Consider the following 27,746-nt stretch of genomic DNA (forward strand, 5'->3'; position numbering starts at 1 on the left):
TCAGAGGAATGTTACTGCACTTGAGAACTACTTTTGGAATGACTCATTAATAATTTAGTTAGACTGTCAACGATGCTCTCCAATTACTCAAATACTACTAGAAAACATTTCATTAGGAGATTTAAATAAACTCTTCCTGCCTCATGCTCATTACTCCCCATGTTTGCCCAAAAGAAATCAGGCCCAAGTTAAAAGCTGCCCCTCCAGAAACATTTCCTTGGTTTCCCTTCCAGTGAGAGGTGGCATCTCCTTCTCCCAAACTCCTGTGGCATGAGGCACATATCTCATTTACTTAATTAGACTGCAAGTGCTTGGAAGGCAGGCTCCACATTCAACTGAGCCTGGCATTTGCACTCTCTAACTTCCCACCACATAGAGCTCCTAGCACAATACTCTGAAAAGAGTACTCACTCAGCAAGTGTTAGTGAATGAGTGAGGGGATAAATGCAGGCTTGAGGGGTTCCGTCTGGTGTTTCTGGCATATCCCAAAGCCCAGTTATTTGTTAAAAATTTTATGTGAACCCTCCAAACACATTAGGTTGATATCGAAGTTTCACAGAGTCATCTCATGGTGATTCTTGGTAATGAAGTTCACTTGGGTCAACAATAATCTAGAATGTGTATCTACATCTCTTTCAATGTGCTCCACTTGAAAAATATTAACCAAGTATTTCTTTCTCTTTTAAAAGCTAACTCATTTCATTTAACAGCATCTATAACTGTCAGAACTTTGGCAGACTTTGTGAAAAGTATCACTTTAACTGTCTGAATTAAAAATTAATCACAAAAGTCTTCCTTTGTTTTGTTTTTACTACTTAAACTCCCTATTGATAAAGAAAAAGTCCGTTTTTTTTTTGTTGTTGTTGTTTCTTGAGACAGGATCTCATTCTGTCACCCAGGCTGAAGTGCAATAACACAGTCACATCCCAGGAGCCTCCAGCTCGTGGGCTCAAGTAATCCTCCCACCTCAGCCTCCCGGGTAGCTGGGACTACAGGCGTGCGCCACTACACCCAGCTAATTTTTAAAATTTTTAGTAGCTACTAGGTCTCTCTACTTTGCCCAGGCTGGTCTGGAACTTCTGAGCTCAAGAGAATCTTCTGCCTTGGTCTCCCAAAGTGCTGGGATTATAGGTGTGAGCCACTGCACCTGGCCTTGATGTTTTTTTGTTTGCTTATTTTTAAGATCGTTGGAGTCTTTTCCCCATAATACAAAAAAAATGCAGTTATTGCATTTGCTAGGAGAGAAAATTCCTGTACTTTAAAATTATATTTTACAATGACTGCTTCCAACCTCCACCACTCCTCCCACCTAATACCATTGGGGCTAGAAGTGGGGATGATCCTCTTGATCATTTTTGCCTCATTTTACATGATAAATTATCAAACTTTTGCATTTTTTTAAAAAAGGCAGTTCCAAAGACTCAACACAAAGTTACCTAAGGAATTTCCTTCTCTGGATCTGCTTGTCCAGGAGTTGAAATGTTCATTAAGTTCATCAGGCAGGCAGTTCAGGAACTCTGGATGAAAGTCAGCTCAAACCCAAGGAGACTGCCAACTTCCCTTTCTTGAAAACCCTCCTGCATACAAAGTCTCATTCCTCTCAACAGTTTGCTCATTTTTGTCTTCTGGAAAGTAAGTTCATTTGTTCATGCTACGTTAGTGGAAGTAAACAACCCCTACTGAGCCCCCAGCTTCACTGCTGGCTTATAATGCACTATTCCCCAAAGTGGTGGTTCTTATTTCTGAAGACGGGCTTCCTCACCCATCTTGTCCCATCAGATAACTTAGAGTTTGGTGCAAGCCTTGCAAATCATGTAGTAACAGCCCCTCATTGTAGCAGCTAGAATACGGAGGCCGAGAAAGATCCATCGATGTGCCCCTTGCACGACACTGCTTACTAGTAGCCAAGTGCAGCCTAGAACGCAGGCCTCCTGGCCACGAGTTCTGTGTTCTTTCTTACCTAGCCTGGTGCTTACAGCTCTCCTAGGAGTAAAGTGGCAAGCCCCAATAGTGTTGCTGAGTGCCAGGCATGAAGCCAGGCAAGAATTAGGTCCTCCACACACTTGCTACTCAAAGTGCGTGCCACGGACCATCAGCATCTGCCCCATCTGGAAACAAGTTAGAAATGTAGAGTCCCAGGCCTCCCCTGAGACCTGCTATATCAGACTCTGCTCTTTAACCATATCCCCAGGAGACTCACAAGCACATTAAAGTTTGAGAAGTGTTGCTCCACAGCAGGGAGAAAAAAAAAAAAAGATACACCTTCACTTTTTGAGTTAAGCTCAGGCCAAGTCCTGAGCTCATGTCACCGCCTATGGCAGATCACACTGAAGGATGTGCCAGTGATCTGACCCAAATGGACTTGTCTCCTTTAAACACTAAGGCCACTCGGATAATCTGCAGAATAGAATCCCTGGAGCCCAGTGGATGCCTTATAGAATCCATACAACTCATTTGTCTGTTTTGTTTCCTTGCTGAAATTCTGATTTACTTACTGACTACTGAGGGGTAAAATGGGGGAAAGGTTGAGTAATAAAAGTACTTCTTTATGGAAGATCAAAGATATCCTCCCCCACTTTCTTTTCCTAAAGTGGTTCTCCACAAGAATTGTGGGTAAAGGAACTCAGCACGTGCTTCATGCCAGGATTAAGAATGCAGGTACGGGAGACAGCCTTCCTGGGAGCAAGGCAGAACTCTGCTTGCTGCCATCCGTGTGACCTTGACAACTCAACATTTGTGTCTCAGTTTTCTCACCTTTAAAATGGGAACAAAGATGACACTTATTTCATAGCCATATGATACAGATGAAATGATAATGATCAAGCCTCACATACAGTGAGTGCTCACTAAATATAAGCTACTGTCATTATACATATCCTATGTGTCAGTGTCACTCAAAACCACTGTGGCCCCCAATCTTCTCATGATTGACCCAGATAATGATCAACAGCCAATCAACCTAAAGGAACCAATAATGGACTGGGCGTGGTGGCTCACACCTCTAATCCCAGCACTTTGAGAGGCCTATGTGGGAAACTCTCTTGAGCCCAGAAGTTCCAGACCAGTCTAGGCAACATGGCGAAACCCGGTCTCTACCCAAAATAAAAAAATTAGCCAGGCATGGTGGCGTGCACCTGTAGTCCCAGTTACCTGGGAGGCTGAGGTGGGAGGATGGCTTAAGCCTGAGAGGCAAAGGTTGCAGTGAGCTGAGATCATGCCACTGTGCTCCAGCCTGGGTGACAGAGTGAGACCCCATCTCAAGGAAATAAAAAAGAAAAGAAAAGAAACCAATATGCAGCCAGGCTCAGTGGCTCACACCCATAATCCCAGTGGTTTGGGAGGCCAAGGTGGGAGGATCGCTTGAGGCCAGGATTTCAAGATCAGCCTAGGCAACATAGCGAGACCTTGTTTCTACAGAAAAAAAAAAGAGAGAGAGAGAGAAAGACAAACTAATACACATAAAAGGCAGACACTGAGAAAAGTCTTGCCCTACCAAAACATGTGTGAATTCTGGGTTCGAGCAAAAACATGCACCACCTTTCACTTTGAATTCTAATGTGTGTTGACGTAATGTGTGTTGATGTAGAGTAAGAGCCCCAGAGCTTGATCAACCATGAAGAAATAAAGGAAAGGAAAGGAAAGAGGAGTCAGTCTTAGACACGCAACCTCATGCCTCACAGCTGTCCCTTATGAGCACACCAGCCAAATGCTTTGTCTACCTGCAAAGTGACTTTAAAAGGAGAGAACAAGGAGGAGCTGCTCTGTACTCCCTTTTTAAAATGTGGCACATGCTGTCATTCCTTCTATGATAGTTGGCCAAAAGACAAATCTGATTTCCTTTCCCAGACTTCATTTTAATTTTTATTTTTATGAAAGCAGGAAAAACATACTGCTCTCTCCATCCCATCCTCACTGTTTTTTTTTTTTAAAAAAATTAATATTGTTCCTTTTGAAAGACTAACCCCACTTCTCTTTTCTTAATTAGGCTCAACTGAAATATAGGCATAAGCATTCAACTGGGCAAGCCAAACTGAAAAACATCCCCAAGCCCTGAAAATCTAAATCAAGACCAAACCAATTATAGCATTTTATTTAGGTGGTGTTTATTTTTTGTATTTTTTTAACTGTCAAGTGATTGACAGAATTTATGGTAGGCGCAAAATGTTAAAGTATTTCTAGACTTTGCGGGAAGACATTAAGTTTGTCTATAGCCTCTAAACAAAATTATTTGTTTTCCAGTCATGCCTTTCAGTTTAAAAGTATTGCACTTTTACTAGCCACATCATTCTGGGCATATGCTTCTTCTGAGGAGACATTTTTCTAGCTGAGTTTAATCCAGTGAGTTAAAAGAGGGAAAGAATGTAAAATGGAACTCTCTACTTGCAGTTGGACATGCATTTGTTTTTCATCGCAGGATGCTAGGAAAGAAACCTCTCTGGTTGTCTAACTGTTTGCCTCACCTGTCTGAGGGCTGAGGCCCTGAGGACAGCATGCAAATTTCAACCCCCAACCCCATCCTCTCACTTCCCCTCCTCTATTGAGCATAACTTAGCCGCAACAGGATGCTACCCATTCACCCGTGGAGGCCTTACCTGTCGGTTTTCTTGATCAGGATGGCTCTAAAGATGTGCTCCAGGGGCGTCTTCTCCCGCTCATGGGTGGGCTGCACGAAGGGGTGCAGGGCCGCCAGCGAGAAGCCCTGCTGGTACAGCTCCAGGAGCTGGGCGGGCAGGTCACGCAGGGAGGCCAGCCTCACTGCTGAGGACCCAGGGAGCTCCGCTGGAGTGGAGAGAGGAGAGGCTCATCAAAGACCCATCACAACGCCCACTCAGCCCTGCCCAAACCCCTCTTCCCTTGCCCTCGGGGAGGATCCTCTAGGTCACTGCTAAAATGAGTTTGTCCCAGTTTTTACTGTCTTCAAACAGACTTTATAAGCAGCCTGTCGTTTTCCAAATCACCCAAAGGCATTAATAATTGGATGTCGGCCAGGCGTGATGGCTCAGGCCTATAATCCCAGCACTCTGAGAGGCCGAGGCAGATGGATCGCTTGAGCCGAGAAGTTTGAGACCAGCCTGGGCAACATAGTAAAACTCGGTCTCTCTTAAACAAACAAACAAACAAACAAACAAACAAACAAAAACAAAAAAACCCCCTCAAAATTAGCCAGTGCTTGTGGTCCTGGCTACTCAGGAGGCTGAGGTGGGAAGATCGCTTGAGCTGGAAATGGGGAGGTTTGCAGTGAGCCATGATAGGGCCACTGCACTCTAGCCTGGGCAACAGAGCAAGCCACTGTCTCAAAAATGAAATAAAATAAAATAATAATGGACTGTCTTAGATCTAGAGTCGTCTTATCAGTGATCACAATGAAAAAGTCATTTCCACCCTCTAAAAAAAAACACACAGAAATAAAGAAAGAAAGGAAGAAGGGAAGGGAAAAGAAGAAAAATACATTGAGCAAATATAAAAATACTAGGTGGCAAAAAGCAGCATAAACAAAGTCAAAAGACAAACTGGAACAAAATTTCTGTGACCCTTAAGACAAAGGGCTAATTTCCTTAAATTTGCAAAACACTCCCCACCCCAAAATAATTTTTAAACGGGAAAAATATATGAATAGGCAATTGCCTTAAAAGTGTAAAAGGCTAACCAATATTTGAAAACACACTTTAATTCAGCATTAGAATTACACAAATAAAAACCAGGAATATTTTCACCTATTGAATTATTTTAAAATTTGGATTTTTAATTTATTTATTTTTGAGAAGGGCAAACAACGTTCAAAAGTCAAAAGGTACAAATGTGTATTCAGTGAAAAGTCTACATCCTAGCCCTATCCTCTACCTCCTACATTTATTTCCTTAGAGGAAATCAGTATTATCTTTTTGTGTGTATATGCATTAACAATCAAAGAATTCATACAAAAGTGAACAGGTCTATATATTTCCCTCCTCTTCTACACAAATGTCAGCATAACATTACACACCTAGCTTTTTAGAATCAATTTTTATCAATTAACAGTATACTTTTCGGCCAGGGGCAGTGGCTCACGCCTGTTATCCCCGCACTTTGGGAGGCCAAGGTAGGCGGATCACTTGAGGTCAGGAGTTTGAGACCAGCCTGGCCAACATGATGAAACCCCATCTCTGCTAAAAATATAAAAAATTAGTCCGGTGTGGTGGTGCATGCCTGTAATCCCAGCTACTCGGGAGGCTGAGGCGGAAGAATCTCTTGAACCTGGGAGGCGAAGGTTGCAGTGAGCCGAGATTGCGCCACTGCACTCCAGCCTGGGCAACAAGAGCTAAACTCCGTCTCAAAAAGCAAAAAAACAAAACAAAACAGTATACTTTTCTTAAGAGACCATTTCATAGCAGTACACAGAGTGCTTTCTCATTCTTTTCTACAGATCCATTGTGTGATATACCATGGAGTATGCAAACTTTTGCTCTTACAAGTAATCTTTTAGTGAAAAATCTCATTCCTACATGATTTTGCATGTGTGCGCTTATAGTACATATACAAAATAAATTCCTAGATGTGGAATTGCTGGGTTAAAAATATATGCATTGTGTGCCTGTATCAAAACATCTCATGTACCCTATAAATATATACACCTACTATGTACCCACAAAAAGTAAATAAATAAAAAATCAGAGATGTAAATATATATATATATATATATATATATATCACACACATATGTATGTGTGCATTGTAATTTTTTCAGCTAGTGCTATTTCCCCCATAGAGTATTATGGATTTATCTGCCATCAGTGATGTATAAAGTTATTTCTTTTCCCATACTCTGACAATTCTCAGTGGAAAAAAAAAGATCCCTGTGACATGGTAACTTATATTTATCTTATTATGTAATTTGTATTTTTTCTTATTAAACATTTCATATTTAAATGCTGTGTCTCCTTGTCTGTGAACTGTCTGTCCATTATCTTTGCCTCGTGTCCTATTTAGTCATTGGGCTTTTTTTCTATTGGTTTGTAAGAACTCTTTACATATTAGGAAATTTAGTTTTTGATGTATCTGCCCCCAATTTGTTGCTTGCCTTTTGACTTTGCATATAGTGGGTTTTGCCATGAAAAAAAAAATTTTTTTTTTTTTTTTAAGACAAAGTCTCTCTCTGTTGCCCAGGCTGGAGTGCGGTGGTGCTATCCCCGCTCACTGCAAACTCTACCTCCTGGGTTCAAGTGATTCCATGAAAAACTTTTTAAATGAAGCTGAATTTACCAATCTTGCTTTCAATGGCTTCTGAGTTTTGTGTCATAGCAGAAAGACCTGGGATTATAAAACAATTCTCTTGTGAATTCCCATAATACATATTTCATTTTTTGCATATAAATCTTTTATCGATTTGGAATTTATCCCATGTAAAGTGTGCAATATGAATTGAACACCCCCCCACCACAGGGGTTTATCCATTTTTCCTCATTGATTTGAGATGCCATATATCATATGCCACTTATCATTTATTATATTCCCAAATATGAGTTTATGACTGTGATCCATTAATCTATTTGTATAAAACACTACTTCAAACAATTTTAATTTCATATTATGTTTTAATATCTGGTTAAACTACTTGTCAAATCTTCCTATATTCCTGTTTATATTTTGAATTTTCCTAATTCGTTTTTCTAAATGATCTTTAAAAATCAGCTCAGTAAATTCCCCTTGCTCCACTAAAAAAGTCTGTGGGTATTTTTATTGGGTCATGTTCAAATCATAGCTTGACTGAGAATGAATATTTTCACCATGCTACAAGTTCCCATGCAAGAAACTGGCAAAATTTTGATTTGGTCAAGTCTTCCTTTGGGTCCCTCTGGAGCATGCTAAAGTTTTCTTCACACAGATAGCACATATTTATCAGGTTTATTCCTAGTTATTCTATATTTTATTGCTATTGGAATAATACATTTTCCTTTTTCACTTCTGTAATATTCACTGCATGCAAGGGTGTTGGGGAAACAGGCATGGCCCTCATCGTGGTGGGAGTGAACCTTTCTTGAGGGCTGTTAGAGCAACCTAGTAGTAAATACCTTTGTCCATATATCTTGAAAGACATTCATGAGTCCAGCCATAGAAGTACTACCAGTAGTAGGGTTGCTGGACAAAGAGTGTGTGCATTTTTAGGTTTGAAGGGCAATACCACCCTGCCCTCAAGGAGAATCGCTTGAGCCCAGGAGTTTGAGACTAGCCTAGGCAATAGGGCAAAACTCCATCTGTACAAAAAAATACAAAAATTAACTGAGTGTGGTGGCATGTGCCTGTAGTGCCAGCTACTAGGGAGGCTGAGATGGGAGGATCACTTGAGCCCAGAGAGGTCAAGGATGCAGTGAGCTGAGATCGCACCACTGCACTCCAGCCTGGGGTGACAGAGTTACTAAATAAATAAATAAATAAATAAATAAAAGATAGGATCGGTGTTTTTTCCTTTCACTTTAAGCTCCAATACGGCTTGCACAATACTGTCACTGATCTTGTCTTTATTTATTATAAATGTTGCCTCACTCCCCTCACCCTAATCCTGGCCCAGCCCAAGATCTCCTTTTGTCCTCTTGTCCCAGAGCCTGCAAATGCTGGGTGTCGACCTTATGGAAACCAGGGGCTGTCAACAGATTACAAGGCTGCTGAACCAAAAGGGCAAAACCACATGTGGCGGAGACAGTTTGTTTTATTTGAAAAACTGAATGTACTTTTGGTAGGAGTGTAGGGCTTTATGGAAGGCAACTGCACGTTGTCAATCAAACCTAAAAATACTATCCAGCACCAAGATCCCCTCTCCTTTGATAAAACTATATACAAACAGCATCTGTGAGTCATCGAATATGGGCCCTCAAACTCATATTTAACTCAAACTCATATTGGTCTCTACAGTTCAATATTCTTTAAATGATTCAAATTTTTCAAACTCTTCCTGCTATAATAAAATAAACCTTTATTGAGAGTTTGATAATTTATACATTTGTTTCCTCTTATGCATCACACTAAAATAAAAAATAAAAGTAGTTAATATGTTTAGAAGACAGGGTTCTTGCTGGGCATGGTGGCTCACGCTTGTAATCGCAGCACTTTAGGAGGCCGAGGCGGGTGGATCATTTGAGAGCAGGAGTTCGAGACCAGCCTGGCCAACATGGTGAAACCCTGTCTCTACCCAAAATACAAAAATTAGCTGCGCATGTTGGCGTGCACCTATAGTCCCAGCTACTCAGGGGGCTGAGGAGGGAGGATCACTTGAGTCCAGGAGGCAGAGGTTGCAGTGAGCTGAAATCGTGCCACTGCACTCCAGCCTGGGAGACAGAGTAAGAACTCTGTCTCAAAAAAAAAAAAAAAAAAAAAAAAAAAAAAAAAGAAGACAGGTTTCTATACCAGCTGCTCTCCTCACTGCCTGCTAACCCCAGTCATGTGAACACTCAATTTCTTTGTATAAAATGGTGATAACAACATCAACCTGTCTTCCATCATAGCGTCATTGTGAGGATCACGTGGGATGATGTGTGTGTAATCTACAGAACACAAAACAATCACAGGCGGTGGCACTGGCTGTGGTGAATGGGAGGACTGGTCACCCCGGGATGGTGATGACAACATGATGTGGGGCCATGAAATCCTTCCCCATTCCCACCCACACTCCTTAACCTCCATGCTCCCAAATCGGTGCACTAAAAATGTTAGTCAATCAACCACTTTATATTTAAATGCTTCCTGAAAAAAACATAATACCTTTTAAATTTTTATCTTAAAATCTAAAGATGTATCTCCTGTCAAAGCTGAGCAATTTTGTGGCTTTAATTTTTGGTATGCATGCTGTCAAAGTAAATTTAGCTTCATGGTTAAAAGAAACAAATAAAAATGAATCTCAATGATCTTAAAGCAATAAAAAAAGGCTCCTATTATAAACATGATTAAAGGCCTTAATCTCATGTTTCTATTTGAACCCTAACCTTAAAAATACAAAAGAAAACATAGTTCTTATGAAGTGACCAATTCCCCAGTGTTACTCCTAGGCGAATAAACAAAGGAATGATTTCTCCACTTGGATGGACATACCAGTTGTAGCCTGTTGGTCTGTTTCTCACCCTACTTATCAGAGTAACCTCTCCACTATTTTGTTTTGTAATAGTTGCCTGATTTCATTTACAAATTATGTAACCTTGGGCAAGCTATATAGCTCCCTCCCCATCTCTTGGGACTCTCATTTACAAAATGAAGACTTTGGATGGGCAATTGCAAAAGGCGCTTTCAACTTTAAAATGCAATAATTTTATTATTTCAATTTGGAGGCTGAGGTACCAGTTTCTAACTAAAAAGTAACATTGGATAATATAACAATTGTTTTCAATGTTAACTAAAAGAGTTCCCCCAAACCAGAGCTAGAATTGGAAGAAGGAACACCCACATGGCATGTGTGGGTGGCTGGAGTGAGGAAGGAGAGGCTGGAAGATACCCACTGCCAGTGGGCGGGAGAAACATCACTGCTGCCCGAGGGTTCCAGCCTTCTGCCTGCCCAGGCACTAGGGATTCTGGGCTAACTGTCCTCTGGGGGAGTGTGGGGAGCTTTTCAGAGGAGTTCTAGGGAAGAGATGCCTGCCCAGCGGTGGGAGAGAAAACTAACGTTTTAAGTATCAAGGATGATGGGTCTCCTTCACCCTAGAAGAGAGCTACAAGGAAACGGCATGAGTTATTCTGTAGTTACTTTGGCTTCCTGGCCTTTGACCAGGAGCTGACTCTAAGGCTGAACCACATGAACCGTCTCATCATAAGTTAAAATTTCTAATTATAACTTCGTAGTCTGAAGATAAGGGACACTGGTATGGCTGTCTTAGCCACCGTTACCTTCCAAAAAGAGAAAATGCCAGCCTACTCAGAGTGGGCCGCTGCCGCGAGGGCTGATCACACTTTTTCTCCACTTTCTAATCTGTCAGGTTCTATAGTTTTTATCTACAGTGATCACACTCGCCTCATCTGGGAAGGACACCCACGTGCTCCCACACTGCCACAATCTTGGCTCACTGAAACCTCCGCCTTCTGGACTCAAGTGATCCTCCTGCCTCAGCCCCCTGAGTAGCTGGGACTACAGGTGTGCACCAACATGCTCAGCTAATTTTTGTATTTTTAGTAGAGTCAGGGTTTCACTATGTTGGCCAGGCTGGTCTTGAACTCCTGCCCATCTTCATCCCATACCAGGGCTTTGTCCTGCTGCAGTGCAAAGGACAATTCTCTCCTGGCTTCTCCCCTACCTGGGCAGGGGCAGAGTCTCATCTCCTTACTGGACAGAGGGCTTGGTGCAGATCCCAAAGCCATTAACAGAGGTATCTGCAGGCCAGGAAAATAAAGTAAACAAGAGACATGAGCCAGGGGGACAGCAATGAACACCGAGGCCCCATCTTGCCCAAGGGGACAAGATGGTTACTGCTAATGGGGGGGGGGCCCAATGGTGCCAGAACTTCTAACTCTTACTTTCAAGAAGTCAGAAATCTTAATCTTCCTAATCTTTAAATGTGACAAGTAACTGTAATTTTTTTCTCAATCCCATATGGCCAAAGTCAAGACCTAGCAGCCTGCAGAGTATGGATGGGGCATTTGATAAAGTTGGGGGATGGATGCCCCGCACTTCTTCCTATTTCTGATCCTGCCACTGTCCAGGCGCAGTGTGAGCATCAGTCATACATGGAGGAGGATGTCATTCTGTTCATCCCACATCATCACAAGGTACATCAAAAGCTTCAAGGACACATCTGCAGGTATTTGATACTGGCCTCTATTTCCTAATTCCTCTTTTTTCTATATTGGCACTGAGATGAACAAAAAGTTTAGAATCACATGATTGCATTTTGAATCTTTTGGAAATATTTTTTTTTATTCCAGACTCTATTACCAATAACAGGCTTTTATAAAATCAAAATATAGAAACTACTGCTGAAAAGGTATTTTGGGTGGCATGAGAGTCCAAACGTCTTTTGAAATAAGTGTTTTGTTTTTCTTTCAGAAAATAACTCCATATAAATAAATAAACCATTATTCCAAGAACTAAAAAAAAAAAAAAAAAAAAAGGAAAAGAAAGGAATGAAAACAGAGAAAAAACATAATCCACAAAACCACACATTTCTTAACACTCCTGGGATAAAGTAAATTTTGTTTTTGCTATGACTATGTTTTGTTTAGCAAAAACATTCCACAGCTCCATTTATTCCCTGGAAACGAAGCCCTTCAGACATTTGCAAAGGGCCAAAGTGAGGTCTTTGCTATTTCAAACTTGATTATTGGGAAAGTATCAGCCTCCAACACAAGAAAGAAACCACCGCATACAGCAACTGCCCATTTCACTCAGCTCTGTAAAGCAGGAAACAGCAGGCTGAACTGCAACAGCTTCTATTATTTTGCCCAGAAATCATTTGTGACTTTAACCTAATTATTCAAAGTCTGACTTTGGTCTTCTAATTACATCCGCTAATGGATCTGTCAATACGAAGGAGTGCAACATGAGACAGACACCAATTCCCTCGGGAAATTTCCCTCACAGGTGAAGCTGATAATGTTACACTGCTCAACCAAATCTCTCTTTTTTAAAAAGTTCCTTCAAGACTGCTAGTGCCATAACATCAATCTGCCTGGGCTTTGCAGTAGATCCAATTTAGCAAAACACTAAAATCAATCACTTTTTGATGCAGGACTTTTTATTGTATAGGTAGGAAATAGGAGTCCAATTTTTAAAATAATGTTTGCAGAAGACAAAGCCCATGTCTTCTGTATGTGCCATTTCTAAATCTGTGGAATAAGTTAAAATGTTTGTTCTAAGGGCTTTAAAAATTTAGACTTCTGTCATCTTCTCATTAAACAAACTCATGTATCTGAAACTTAAAAAACAAAACAAAACAAAACAAAACAAAACACATATCCAGGCTCAGGAGACCACACCATTAAAACACTATTTTTAAAATTTGAAGTGAAATTTCCATAACATAAAATTAATCATTTTAAAGTGAACTATTTGGTGGCGTTTAGTATCTTCATGATGTTGCACAACCATCAGCTCTATCTATAGGTTATGAAACATTTTCATCACCCCCAAAGGAAACTCCATGTCCATTAAGCAGTTACTCTTCCCATTCCCCTCTCTCCCCGAGCCCTAGCAATCAATAACATGCTTTCACAAAAAAAAACTATTCTTTTTTTAAATTTTAATGGATTTTTGTTGTGTATATTCAAGGTGTACAACATGATGCCTCAATGTATATATACTTAGTTCAAATGATTACTACAGTCAAGAAAACCAACATAACCATCATCTCACATAGTTAGTTTTCTTTTTTGTGCGTGGTAAGAGTACCTAAAATCTATTCCCTGAGCAGATCTCCAGTACGCGATGTTATTAGCTATAGTCCCCATGTTGTACATTAGATCTCTAGATTTACTTATCATACATAACTGCAACTTTGTACCTTTGACCTACAACTCCCCATCTCCCTGCATCTCCCTGACCCCCCAAACTACAGTTCTACTCTCTGTTTCTGTGTATTTGATTTTTAGTTTAAGATTGCACATATATGCAAGATTACGTAGTATTTTTCCTTCTGTGTCTGGCTTATTTCACTTAGCAGAATGTCCTCTAGATTCAGCCATGCTGTTGTAAATGGAGGATCATCTTCTTTTTTAAGGCTGAATAATACTCCATTGCATATATATACCATAGTTTATTTATCCAATCATCTATTGATGGACATGTAGGTTGTTTCCATATCCTGGCTATTGTGAATAATGCTGCATGGAGTGCAGATATCTCTTCAACATACTGATTTCATTTCCTTTGGAGAAATACCCAGTAATGGGATTGCTAGATCATAGGATATTTCTATTTTTAATTTTTGATGAACCTCCATATTGTTTTCTATAATGGCTGTACTAGTTTACATTCCCACCAACGGGGTGCAAGGGTTCTCTTATACTTCACATCCTCACCAACACTTCTTATCTCTTGTATTTTTGATAGTAGCCATTCTAACAGGTGTGAGCTGATATCTCACTGTGGTTTTGATTTGCATTTCTCTGATGTTTAGTGATGTTAATAAGCATTCTTTCATATATGTGTGGGCCACTTTTATATCTCCTTGGGAGATATGTCTATTCAAGCCCTCTGCCCATTTTTCAAGTTGGGTTATTTGTATTTTTGCTATTGAGCTGAATGAGTTCTGAAATACTATTCTTAATACCTTAATTAAACCATGGATGAACACACAGGGGAATCTCAGTAAGACTAAAAGAACTTCTTTAAGCTTATATAAACCTAAGATTCTGCAGGTCAATTAGGGAGTAACTGGCAAAGCAACAGATGCCTCATCAAATGAATTAAGTTGCCGGCCGCCGGACCACAAATGACTGTTAAAGCATCAGGCTGTCGTGACAATGGGAGCGGGGAAGAGTTAAGTTGTTATTGGTTTGCTCGTCATTTCAGAGAATCACACATAGTCAATGAATTACACACAACACACACACACACACACACACACACACACACACCACTGTACTGTAAAAATTCAGTGTCCAGGTATTTGTAAGGAGACTGACTCAACAATTTCCATTGACTGCATCCATTAATAAAACTCAGAAGATGGCATTATTGTTCACCTCACCAGTCCATTTTGTCAGAGAAGACACAGGCTAAGATACATCAAGAAGCCTTTTTAAGAAACACCAGGTCCCCTGATGCTTAGGTTTAGTAGTGGGCACTCAAATATTAAAAGCAACCCACTAGATATGGAACCTGGAGTATTAATACAATATTTCATACATTTAAAAGTACTTTTGTTAGAGAAGACACAAAGGATCACCAATTATTCAGAATCGGTAACGAAACTCATCCATACCAAATCCAAGAAGAGCTTTTTGTGAGTCAGAAGAAAGCAAATTATGAATGTTTTAAGCCATTTTCCTAATGAGTATGATAGCTGGCATTCTTGGTAGTTCTCTTGATTTTGAGAGTACATTATGCTGATGGCATCAAAGACTAGCCACTAATGAGTATGTACAAACAATATAAAAATTAAACTACTGGATTTACAATGTAAAATGATTTGTCATAGAAATCCTGTATGGATTTTCTATTATAAAATCTTAAGACTTAATTTCTTCATATCCCTATGGGTTTTTTCCAGGCGCTCCGGCTTCCTCCCACATCCCAAAGATGTGCATGTTAGGTAAACAGCCATGTCTACATTGTCCCAGTCTGAGCAAGTGTGAGTGTATGTGTGAGAGTACTCCTGCAATGGAATGACATCCTGTCTAGGGCTGGCGCCTGCCTTGCATCCTGAGCTGCTGGGACAGACTCCGGCCACCCCAGACACTGAACTGGAATAAGCGAGTTGGAAAATGAATGAAGGAATGAATACAAATAATTGTAAAATAAAAATGTGTACCACAATGTACCACAATAAACAATGTGGGATGAAAGCACTTGGCGAGCCCACCAAATTTGTTATTGGTTTTGAACTTCGTGGTGGGAGTAAGTGCTCCTTACGAGTTTCACTTTGCAAACATTTATTCCTTGATTTAACCCACCACCACTACAACCACCATCACTCGCTGTTTTACCAAAAACTGGGTAAGTCATCATCTTATTTGTTGTTATTAATCTTTCTTAACTGTATGTATAGCTCACATTTATTTCCATGTTTAGTATTAGAAATGTTTTGGTCTTTATCGAGAAGTTTGGTAATGTTTTTGTGACCAGAAATATGCCATAGGAATTTAACTCTTGATTTTCTCAATTAGCCTATGGTAAAATTGGTTTCATTACACACTGTTTCATATACAGTTGCAGTTTCCAAGAACCTATTAACAATGTTAAGTGAGGACTTACTATGCAGATGTAAACAGTTCCAAAAACAATGCTGTTGCAGCCAAGCTCTTAGAGAAAACATATAAGAAAAATAATGCATCTTTACAAGGCACTTTTGAGGAGTCTCAGTTTCAACTAAGAGTATGATTGCTCTGATACCTTCTCATGGGCCTCACAAATTCAAGGAAGAGAAAAAGAGAAAGAAAGAGAGAGAGACAAAAAGGAGATATAGGGAGGCTTTCTTTATCCACACCGTCTAAGGATGAGTCCCCCTCCCTCATCCATACAATTCTCTCTCCTGCTCTTTCTCTTTCCCCCCACTCTGTCTCTCTCTCTGTCTGTTGCCATTTTTTCTTTCTCTCTTTCTCTCTCTCTCTCTCTCACACACACACACACACACACACACACACACACACACAGCTCTCTACCAGCGCTGTCCAAGACAGTAGCCACATGTGGCTATTGAGCACTCAAAATGTGGCCAGTCTGAATGAATGTGGTATAAGTATAAAATGTTCAACCAATTTCAAAGATTTAGCATGAAAAAGAGAATGTAAAATATCTAAGTAAGAAGTTTTTTATATTAATAACACTGAAATGACAATACTTTGGATATATTAAGATTAAATAAAATATATTAATATTAATTTCATGTGTTTCTTTTTACCTTTTAAAAATGTGACTTTTAAAAAGTTTAAACTTACATATGTGGCTCAAAGTATATTTCCATTGGACAGCTCTGTTCTATATCATTAATTACCAATCATTTGTTTCACAGCATCTATCACAACTTTTAATTCTACAAATTGTTCATTGAAGTTTTTTTTTTTTTCCCTGTCTTGCCTATTAAATAATTTCCACTGGGCCAGAACCCATGCTGGGTTTATTTGCCAACAAGGTGGCCAAACCAAGAGTGCCTGGAGAAGGCTCATTAGCAGCTGTCATTAAATGAAGAAATTCTCCTCTGATAAGGCCACAGTCCACATCAGGACTGCAGTAGCACTCTCTCCGTCAAAGAAAGTCCAATGCAAACTGCTACCTGCAGTCACTCTGGTGGATGGTGAACTCTGGGGTCCCCATATTCCCTGGGCCCTAAAGCAGATTAGCCACAAGACCAAGATGAAAGAACCATAATGAGTCCTGGAAAAGAGTCAGCCAGTGTAAAGCTCAGAGGAAACCTAGAAACCTTTAAAAAAAAAAAAACTGTGGTAAAATATGCCTAACATCAAATTTATTATTCTAACAATTTTAGGTACCGTTAGGGAAATTCACATTGTCGTGCAACCATCACCACCATCTATCTCCAGGAAATCTTCATCGGCCTCATCTCTCGGTCCACGTCCAACAAGCAGAAGGGACACCTCACTTTCAGGTCACCAACTATCCTTCTCTGTCTCTGCTAGTGTGAGCAGGAGTTACAAAAGCAACAGGAAGAAAAAAGCTGCTGAGTTGGGATAATTCAAAAACATGCCACTGGGAAAATCAAAGGTTGATATGACAACAAAAGCAAAGGAAGAATGTAAAAATTTCACTTTGTAAAGATGGCCAAATAATAATAGGACAAAGACCATGGTTGTATACAAGACAGTGACTGGAAATCTCAACTCCAAACAGCAGAAAATGGAAAACAAGAGATTTCCCAAAAAGTGCGGTACCCGAGGGTATGAGCACACTTGAGTTTGGCATCTACACAGGAAACGAGGTCATTTCTTTTTCTCCTGAGTTATTATCATCAAGGTCTCGACTCTGTAACAAAATTTCACACTGGTTTATCAATAAAGTCTTAGGTGAATTTTCAAAAGCTTCTGAATATAGTAATATAAAATGACAAACTATGGAAACTATTGGAAATCATAAAGACCACGTGTAAGACTAGTTTCAAGAGGCTTATGACAGAATAAATTCCACACTCTGGGGGCTTGGCACAACTTCTATCCACAAAAGAAGACCACTCATTTGTTCAAAGGCACCACCCCAAGACACACCAGCAAATTCCTATCAGTGGATTCTCCTTTTCCTCACTGTAGTGTAGACACACCATATATTCAGCAGTGCAGCCACAAAACCATTCACTAAGTCTACATAAAGTTCTATGCATTGTAAATGCATTTTAACAAATAATATTCCTCTGTCTTATGACATCACAAAAGATTCAACAAAACTCAGTCAAATGAGAACAGGACCAGACAGCTCTTGTTCTCTAAAACAGGCTTCCACAGCTGCATTTTCAGCTTTGCATGAAGGATTACCGCCTTCTTGCATAAACTCCCAAATTGGTGCATGGAAATAGAAAATCATACACACGAGTTGAGCAGCTCCGGCTCCATTAACCAATTTGCATGCAAAATCGACATCAGCACTCTCTGGTCTATTTTTTGCCTATGTAAGAGATGGCATTTAGGATGCCTTGGGATTCTGCTTTTCAGAGGCATTTTGGTTCCCACTAAAGAAAACGGGGTCCCTAATGGTGTTTGGGGGCACATGCACATGTCCCTCCCAGCTGCCTTCTCAGGCATTCCAGTGAAAAAGAGAAAAGTTTGAGAATGAGATCAAGTAAACAATTAGGTGAGAGCCAATGGTCAGGGGGATGTTCTTCAGACTAATACAACGAAGCAATCAGGTGAAAATCATTTCTAATTACACCCAGAAGAAAAATACGATCTATCCACCGTTGGCACAAGAAGGGAAAGATGGATTTTTAATCAGGCAAAGGAATGTACTTTCTGGACTTGCCAGTGATCACTTACTGAGATGGGCCATGGAGAAGTCTGGCCTTTGAGGTTACGCATGAGGATCTGATAGGCATTTGTGTGCTTATAAGGAATCTTTAGATTTTCTCTAATGTATTATTTCTTCCCTCTCTTCCTCTCTCCTTCTTTTCTCTCTTTTTTCTTTTCTTCCTCCCTTCCATCCAGGGAGCCACCAGCCACATGTGGCTATCGAGCATCTGAAATGTGGCCAGTGTGATTGAGATGTGCCCAAAGTATAAATAAATACACACAGGATTTCAAAGACTTGGTAAAAAAAAAAAAAGTCTCCCAATAATAATTTTTTATTGATTCCATATTGAAATGATAAATTGTCTAAGATATTGGATTAAATAAAATATATCATGAAAATTAACTTGCCTGTTTTTATTTTTTAATGTGGTTACTAGAAAATTTTTCAATGGCATTCACAAGTCATATTGTATTTCTATTGGACTGCTCTGTCCTAGAACCTTTTGTTTTAAACAGATGCATTTTCTTACAGTCCAAAAAAAAACATGATCCCTTGTTGACTTTTATGGAGGTGCCAATTTAATTCCTTTTTCAACATTCTTTAGCTACAGCTATGAGTTGAGGTCACTTCTTTTTCCCAAAATAAATCCATAACACCAAGGAATGGGGACAAGCTGTCACAACCCTTACAATGTGGGATCAAAAGAGTAACCTTCCTTGAAGCACATTAAATTTTTTTTCTTAACTAACTGTCGCTATTCCAAATTGGAGGAAAAAAAGTACAACTTTTTACTGCCTTCATGTTTGATGGTTTGCTCCCTGTGTCCCTTAAATGCCTGCTCTTCAAGAATCTCTAGTAACACAATCACACTGCTTCTAAAATGTTTACCTCTCAGGAGCCACTGCGTTCCCGACCTTCTTCTGCCCCATTGGCAGGCCCCAAACATCCTCCTGAGTCACAAGTCTCACCCCATGCGGGGATTACAGGCTGCGACTCACTGCTCTAGCAAAACTAGAAATAACTGCTGGAGGCAAGCAGCCAGCCGGCATCCCACAGAGATTATTCATAGCAGAAATATCAATAGACAGTAGGCCCTCCAGTTGGTTGTGTTGAGTCCCTGGAAATGCTTTGTACTGAATTTTCCAGATGATTTATGTTATGCTCCAGAAAGGCAACATCTCCCTCACACACTTAATAAATGCATCCGTGTGGTATTAATGTTTCAACTTAACATAGTTTTCCCCTTCCTGTACTTTCTGGTCTGGTTCCTTGGGGAGTGGAGTGGGAAGGCTTCATGATATCTGAAATCCCCACAAATTCATACGAAATGAGTAGGATTATTACTTTGTTTTAACCAGAGTGCATTTTATCTTAGTTCTAAATTATGCAGATCCTATTAGGCAAATAAAGAACAGAAATCTGGAATTGAATTATAGGAGAGAAAGCTGATTATTCATCAAATCTGGCTCAGGCAGATGGGTGGTGTATTGGCTCCAGTTCCTAATCTGGACCAGATTACCTGGGTTCAAATTTCAGTGCCATCCCTTACTAGCCATATGACTTTGGGTGAATTACGAATGCTTATGGGCCTCAATTTTTGTCTACAGAGGATAAAAATAACACCTTTCTCATCAGGCTGCTATGAAGATTGAGATAATGCACATAAAGTCCTAGAACTGCACCTGGAACTGGTAACTCCTCCATACACGGGAGCTGCTAAAATCATTGTTGTTATCACCATTATGCATAACCCTAATCACTTCACACATTGTTACTAACGTGACAGACTGTCATGTCCACGAGTTGATCCTTAAGTCTCGGAACCACTCCAGCTCTGCATCAATATTCTTCAGCTTTCACAACTGACTTTGATTTCTCAGTCATTTCTGAATGTGAGCCAAAAATGGTCTAGAACATCAAGACTCAGAAAAATCAACGAGACAAAAGCCATGCTGACAGACTGCTGCCTCTGATTTGCACTGAACTCCACTACAGGCTGCTGAAGTACTTGTGGAAAGGGATGTGAGGAGGAAGGGGCAGGGCGTGTCTGCAATGGAACTGCAGAAGCCTAGAGAGCTGGTTCTAGAAAATGGCCCCATCTCTAGAAGTGACCAGGAAGCAGCAGGAGGAGGGCTGCAGGAGGCCCCAGGGAGGCGCAGCAGGGGAAAGAGGTGGAATTGCGGCAGGAATACATTAAGGACATAGCACACAAAGCAAAGGCAGAAGACATGTCACCCCCATCCTGACCACTCTCCATGCCTGTCTTAAATCCATCCCAATTTGTAAAATTAAATGTGCAAACAGAAAATATTTCTCTGAAAGAGTCATAAAATGTCAGCTTCTCCACTTTCCTTCCTAACCCACAATTTTTAATTTCCTCTACTAACTGCCAGAACAAGGGCTCATATCTTAAATTCTCCTCCCACCTCAGGCCTGCCTTGCTTGCAGCTCTGTCTGGGAGCATTTCAGGCAAAACATTTAAAATGAAAAAATAAGCCCCAAATGTCTATCCTTAGCTATGGCATAGAAAGGGGAGGCTGAAGAGATAGTGTCTGGCCACATCCAGGTGCACAGAGGTGGTGGCCTCAGAGAAGGAAGGCAGGTAGGATAAGAGCCTGAGGCCCATCCAAGGGCTCTCTCCCACTGCACCATGATGCTGCATGACCTGAAGTCCACCAGCATCCTGTTCAGGTTAACATGTCTCCCATGTCTATGCTCCCTCAGGTGGCTTCCACAGGCAAATTAGCTTCATCAAACAACACTAGGTCTTGGCCTGTCTCTACCTCCTGTCTCTAACTGCTCCTGAGGCAGGACAGGCACCCCAAACCAGGATTAAAACAATAAGTTTAACAAATGCTATAAAACTAATCTAGTGTCTGTTCCACAACCTTCAGAGAAGGTGTTATTTTGCCTTCTCTTACCTTTTCATCAGACCCTGTTCTCAAGTCTCTTTCTTTCTTTTTTTTTTCCATCATAAGAAAACAAAGCCAAAGAGATGGCTGGGAGATGAGGGAGAGGGATGGCAAAGACAGCTCCTAGGTCTCTGGTTTGCATGGACCTGAACAGATAGTGGTGACTTTCACCACTTGGTTTTGGTCCTGTTGACTACAGAGGGCCTCTGTGATATCCCAGAGGAAACATTAGTCAGGCCATTAATATAGGATCTTCAGCTCAAACGGAGAACTCTGGACTGGGGATAGAAAACGGAGGCTCACGTACCTGTGCATAAATGCTCACTAAGGTCAGGGGCTTGGATAAACTCTCATTATGAGAAAACATGCAGACAGAAGATCAGGTCTCCAGCCAAGAATTACCAAACTCTCAATAGTTAGTGGCTGAGCGCAGATGGGCAGATCTGCAAAGGAGGCAGAGGAGCAGCCCGAGAGACAAGAAGCAAAGCAGAAGAGTGCTGTCCTAGAAGTCAAGGGAAGACGGAACAGCAGAACGTCTCATCAGTGACCTCCTCTTACCCACCACGTCAGATCCCCCAAAGCCTTCATTCCTTCCAGGACACATGGTAGATGCCCCTGCATGCTGGACACGAAGTCTAATAGGGCACTCTCCAGTACACCCATGACTTTCTGCTTCATTAGCTGGCTTGTAGGCTAACCAACAGCTGGCTAGGTGTAGTCTCAAACCTGTTTATGCCAGTTGCACTGGTTATAATGAATAAGCCTAATCAAATATTATATGAATACAAACTAAAATAGAGTGGTCCCCTCTTCTCCACAGGGGATATGCCTGAAACCACAGATAGTAAAGAACCCAATTGCTGCCAATCAGAGCACATTTCTCTTCGTGTCTTCCACCTAAAAATTTAATGCCTTTTTCATCTTCACTAAGCACATGTCATGCACTGTGGCCATAACTTTTGCAGCCTGAGGTGTGACAGCAAAACTACTAGCGTGATTTTTTTTTCCTTCCTCACAATTTCATAGATGGAAGATTCATTCTTACCTTAGATCTTAGCAACTTCAGCATATGAGTTTTCTTCTTTCTCACTTAAAGGAAGCTCTTTACAGCTTCATTTTGGCATATCCGAATTGCCAGCATCACTAGCTTTGTGCTTTGGGGCCACTGTTGAGTAAAATAAGGGTGACTTGAACACAAGCAGTTCTATCCCAAGACAGTGGAACTGATCACTGAGTGGCCACTAAGTGAGTAATGGGTGGGTATATTATGGACAGCATGGATGCACAGGACAAATAGATGATCCACGTCCTGGGCGGAATAGAGCAGGATGGCACGAGATTTCACCATGCTACTCAGAATAGTGAGTAATTGAAAACTTATGCATTATTTCTAGAATTTTTCATTTCATATTTTGGAAACACGGTTGACTATAGGTAACCAAAACCACAGAAAATGAAACCAAGGATAAGGGGGAACTACTGTACAAACAGTGAATGAGAGTTATTCATAAGAAGCCAAAGATTCTAAAGAAAACTAAAAAAAAAATAATAGCTGTCAAGGTAGATGAAGGTAAGGATATAATAGAAGGCGAAGGGAAAAGTAATTTTAAAATGTGCGGGGTTACATTCAGATACCTTTGTAAACATCTAAAGTCTCCCTCCATCTTCACAATGTTGATTGAAATGCTTAGCTACTGTATCATGGGTTTATGCCAAAAGATGACGCAGAGCTAGTCAGCAGAAACACTGTCAAAGACCACAGCTCTGCACCTAATGATGGGCAGATGAACGTTTGTTTTCAATGAATTCACTGTGAAAACACAATCAGTTTTGTGTTTTAAGCTAAAATAAAATGTTTACAATATATACCTTTTAAAAAATAATTCCCTGTTCCAACCAACCTTTTTGATTTACTGACCAATTATGGTCTCAACTGTGACAGTGAAGGAGTGGTCAGTGTTGCCAGGCCCTTCAGTAAGATGAGGAATGGAAGACATCCACTGGATTTAGAGATCACTGGGAGTGGAGAAATGCAACCAAGTCAGGCCGAAGACAGTCAACTGTTATGTGACAATATCACAAGCCGTTCTTCCCTATCAAGTTCTTTTGCACTTAGTGTTTCAGAATTTAAATGCTGCTTTTTAATCTCCTTTTTTGAGCAAATGGTTTCAATGTATTTTACAGCAGAAAAAGCCCTTAAAAATGAGAATGAGGATGATGATGATGATGATAGAAGTATTATGGAAATAATATGAACAACAGTAACAATGATAGCTACCTTCCATTGGACATATATTGTCCACCAGACATTGTTTTATATGCTTTACAAGCATCCTTGCTTAATTCTCAATCTCTCAGCTATGTACTATTATTATCTCCATTTTAAAGATGAGAAAACTCTGGACCAGAGAAGTTGAGTAAATTTCCCAAGCCTGCAGAGCCACTAAGGGTTGAACCTGACATTCAAACCCACGCATTCAGAGCCTATGCTCTTAACCTCTACACTATGAATTCTCCCTAATTAACTAAGCTAATGTTCTCATTCTATAGATCATAAAATGATGTCCAGAGGGATTAAACAATTGGCTAAAGAGACATAGCAGTACCAGGACTATAGAAGACACCCTCAGATCCCAATCCTATGCTTTTTCTACTATACCACAGTAGTGCAGCAAGTGAATGTAGCAAGATCAGAACAAAATGACTCTTAAAAACCAACAAACGACACCTCCTTGCTTCTACACAGTTGTGTGCCTCCAAGATGTTCCTTGCTTAAGGACTTGTTTAAGTTCCATCAATAGTCAGCTTCTTGGGCTCAGGTTTTCTTTGAAAGGTTGATTACAGCGAAGAAAAACAAAGCCTTTTAAAAATGTAATGTTTATTTCCTCAGTGAATTTAGTGGTATAATTGTAATTGGAAAAAAATAAAGCATGAACGTATGTAACGTATTTACTGCTATGGGAGTCTACAATGGAAGAACCAGAAAAATAAGAATAGTTACACAGTGGTTACAAATATCAAGCATAAACCAGACATGCTTAATTTCAGGGTATGATACAAGAAAATAAATGAAGCAAATATTTAAAGCAAATTCAACTTTCCAATTTTAATTTTAAAAGTGTTATTCAAAGACATTTATAAAGAGAGAGTGATATAATTAAGGCAAGCAAAATGCAAATAATGCAAATAATGCAAAATGCAAATAACATGTTATTGACCTTCTCCATATCCCAGGACTTCCTTCCCACAGTGCAGAAATGGAAGGCAGAAGACAAAAGTCAAAGCCAGGGGTGAACAGGACATGATGCCAGACCTCTACAAGGAGTATGAGCTCCACCAGATCTGAGCTTCCCTAGATGACAAGGCTGCCACTGTAACCAGGTCTCCTTAGTCACCTTCTGCTCTCCTAATGAGAGTCATTTCCATAGATTTTAATAGTTTCTATCACAATGATGATTTTCTAAAAACCCACTCTTATATATCTTTACAGGGTCAAAATTTAATAGGAATTGCCAAATTGCCCCACATTGGTCTTATCAATTCACAGTCCATCTATGGAGTGAGACCATGCCGTGCTGACTTCTCAGCAAAGTGGCAGCTGGTGAGCACACCTGCATCAGGATCATCTAGGGGTGGGAAGAGTGTGTTTACATTAGGAATGCAGGTCCCAGGCTATCCCCAGATCTACTAAATCAGACCTGCATTTCAATAACCAGGGCCATTGACTTGTTTGCTCACTCAAGTCTGAGGACGATTGTGTGAGAGGCTGCCTGGAGCCACGTCTGGAGAAAGACTGTGAAGCCAAGGGTGAGCTCACTGGGAAACAGTTCCCAATCAATTCATAATGCCTGCATGGTGGCAGGAATGGGGGAATTGGGTAGATGGATACATAAGACACAAATCTCTCCTTTCTCCTCTCCTCCTCATTCCCTAACTGCTTAGAGAATTCCTACTCATCCTTCACAACTCTTTCTAGAAGAGACTTCTTCAACCTATACACCAAGGCCTCCCTCCTTGTGTCAAGGCACCATCTAGCACTCACCATCACAGTTTTCTGGCGTGTCTCCCAGGGAAGGCAGGGACTTTGTCTTGTTCATTTTCTTCTCCTCACAACTAGCTTTTTGCCTAGTCCATAACTAGAATTCAATAAATCCTTAGCAAATGACTACGTGATTGAAAAAACAAAAACAAAGGATAGAGCAAATACAGAACCAGTTACTGGGAAGGACAAGACAGCAAAACCCAGCCTCCTCCTCTCCACCATGCTGTCTCCCATGAAGATCCCAGGTCTTCCAAGGGTAAGGAAAAACAGGCTGATAAATGAGGGCTGGCGGCCAGCAACCCTCCCACTGCAGCCAGGCTTTGTCTCCACGCCATAAACACCTCCTTGCTCACAAGAGTTGGACCCTGTTGGGATCAGCAAACAGCTGCAGCAACAGCAGCATATGACCTGCCCAGTTTGTTTAGGTGGCGTGTGTTTGTGAGGAGCATTTGCTCTGTGGTGTTTTTCTATAACGATTACGTGGAGAAATGATGTTATTTTCAGGGGGTGAGGAATACCAAAGAGGCTTATTTGGCAAAAGCCACAATCTGTTCACTTCTACTTTGTGTGCGTATGTGAAAATCCTCACGCTAGTAGCCAGGATTTTTCAAATCCACTGGGAAGAGACTCCAAAAACAGGTTGGGGGCAGGAAAACAAAACCCTAGGATGACAAGCATGCAAATTAACACTGAAACCAGGCAAAGGACTAGTCCTGACAGATGAAAACACTCAAGCCAGCTGTATGTAAGGATTAGGAAAATTCTAAATAGGGGAGCATTCTGCCCACAAGTTTTGTTAGGAGAGGACATTAACACCAGTCATTTATGGTCCTCAAAGCCCAGTATATTGGTGTTGGGGGTGGAGGTGTCTGCTGTGTTCAAAGGACAGTGGCACTGAAAACTCAGGACTCAGAGACACTCTCTTCTTAACTCCTCAAGCTCTCAGATAACCAACTAGTAGAGTCAAAATAATCTAATCATGGACTATTAATGCACATGGCAAAAACTCAACGGATATCCTAGTCAACATAATTCTACATCGGCTGTTCTGTCAAGATGATAATGAAACATCAGACAATCTGTGAGAACATGATGCCAAGAAGAAATACAAATTGGGCTCCTCCATTCCTCATGGAAATTAGAAGATTCTAAACTAATCAATTAGTTTCACATCCCCCGACACCTCCCTCCCACCGCCCCCACCCCCGTCTCTGCATTATCATTCCACTTCATGAAATTTCCTGGGAATCCACTTACTATTCTGTGATCAAGGACAGCAAATGAAAATCAAGTTCTCTGCAGAACATGAGCGAAACTTTACATTGTAATGTAAAATGAGCTGATTAAGGGCACTTAATCCAAGAACAGCTAATTCTTAAGACCTCGAAGCAGAGTGGATGAAATGTCAGGAAGGAGGAATGCAGCCGGGTTCTAATCACACAGAAAAATGGATTCCGGCACTCGACAGGCTGCCTTATTAACAATTACAGTAACCAGGGCTGTTCTTTTCAAAAGAATGCCTAGCAAGTTAGAATAAAGACCCCATCTTCGGAGATCTGTGGTAGAAAGTATACCCCTCTTTTTAGAAAATAAGGTACTCCAGCCTCTGGGAGCATCCTAAAAGATGAGAGGAAACTCAAGGAGAATGGTTTATCTTTCTGAATGGTTTATCTTTCTAATTTCATCTCATTCAACTTCTTACACATTGGAAGGTGATTGTAAACTCAGGTATGTTAGGAATAAGTTTATTATTAAAAAGTAATAAACACCCTCCGCTGACCAAACTCTTAGAAAAGGATTACAGAACCACTTTTCACTTTGAAAAATTCTTGAGGACCCCCCTAAGAACTTTTGTTTATGTGGGTTACATCTATCTATATTCTTCACGTTAGAACATTTAAAACTAAGACATTTTAAAAATAAGAATATCCAAGCACATATTAATTAGTGATGATACCATCATGGGTCGTGTAGCCACAGGAAAACTCCATTGCACGCTTGTCAAAGAATAAGAGTGGAAAAGGCGAACAAAGGTCTTAGTATCATTTTGAAAATAGTTGGGACCTTAAGAACTCCCAGGGGTCCCCAGACCACTCTGAGAACCACTGACCTAGAGTCATGTCTGGTTGACATAGAAATGTGTTAGAGTTATAGAGAGGTCAACTCTTTCAAGAACCACTTCTGTCATAAAAACAAACACTCTGTGTATTATGTGTCAATAAAAAGT

General features: G+C 40.5%; 1 protein-coding gene and 1 long non-coding RNA gene across 11 annotated transcripts in view, besides 2 other annotated features; one reads left to right on the forward strand and one right to left on the reverse strand.

The window, feature by feature from the left end:
• RFTN1 (raftlin, lipid raft linker 1) overlaps window positions 1-27,746 on the reverse strand; it is a 197,855-nt gene that overhangs the window by 113,414 nt on the left and 56,695 nt on the right. For all 10 annotated transcript variants that reach the window (XM_017006007.3, NM_015150.2, XM_047447783.1 and 7 more), the window contains exon 3: window positions 4,593-4,779. In XM_017006007.3, the coding sequence (XP_016861496.1) occupies window positions 4,593-4,779 (187 nt within the window). The remainder of the gene's footprint in view (window positions 1-4,592; window positions 4,780-27,746) is intronic.
• Window positions 4,467-4,596: a silencer, noted in NCBI's record as "silent region_14116". NCBI's record gives its function as "represses an Ori minimal core promoter by ATAC-STARR-seq in GM12878 lymphoblastoid cells {active_cell/tissue: GM12878}" and the evidence as "EXISTENCE:reporter gene assay evidence [ECO:0000049][PMID:35858748]".
• Window positions 10,226-27,706, forward strand: LOC124906220 (uncharacterized). The gene is made up of 2 exons (XR_007095840.1): window positions 10,226-15,607; window positions 17,097-27,706. It is a non-coding gene; the product is annotated as an uncharacterized LOC124906220 (long non-coding RNA).
• Window positions 26,621-27,140: an enhancer, noted in NCBI's record as "NANOG hESC enhancer chr3:16497386-16497905 (GRCh37/hg19 assembly coordinates)". NCBI's record gives its function as "activates a minimal SCP1, AML or CMV promoter by ChIP-STARR-seq in primed H9 embryonic stem cells {active_cell/tissue: H9 hESC(primed)}" and the evidence as "EXISTENCE:reporter gene assay evidence [ECO:0000049][PMID:30033119]".

Source organism: Homo sapiens, chromosome 3, assembly GCF_000001405.40.
Source record: "Homo sapiens chromosome 3, GRCh38.p14 Primary Assembly".
NCBI lineage: Eukaryota > Metazoa > Chordata > Mammalia > Primates > Hominidae > Homo > Homo sapiens.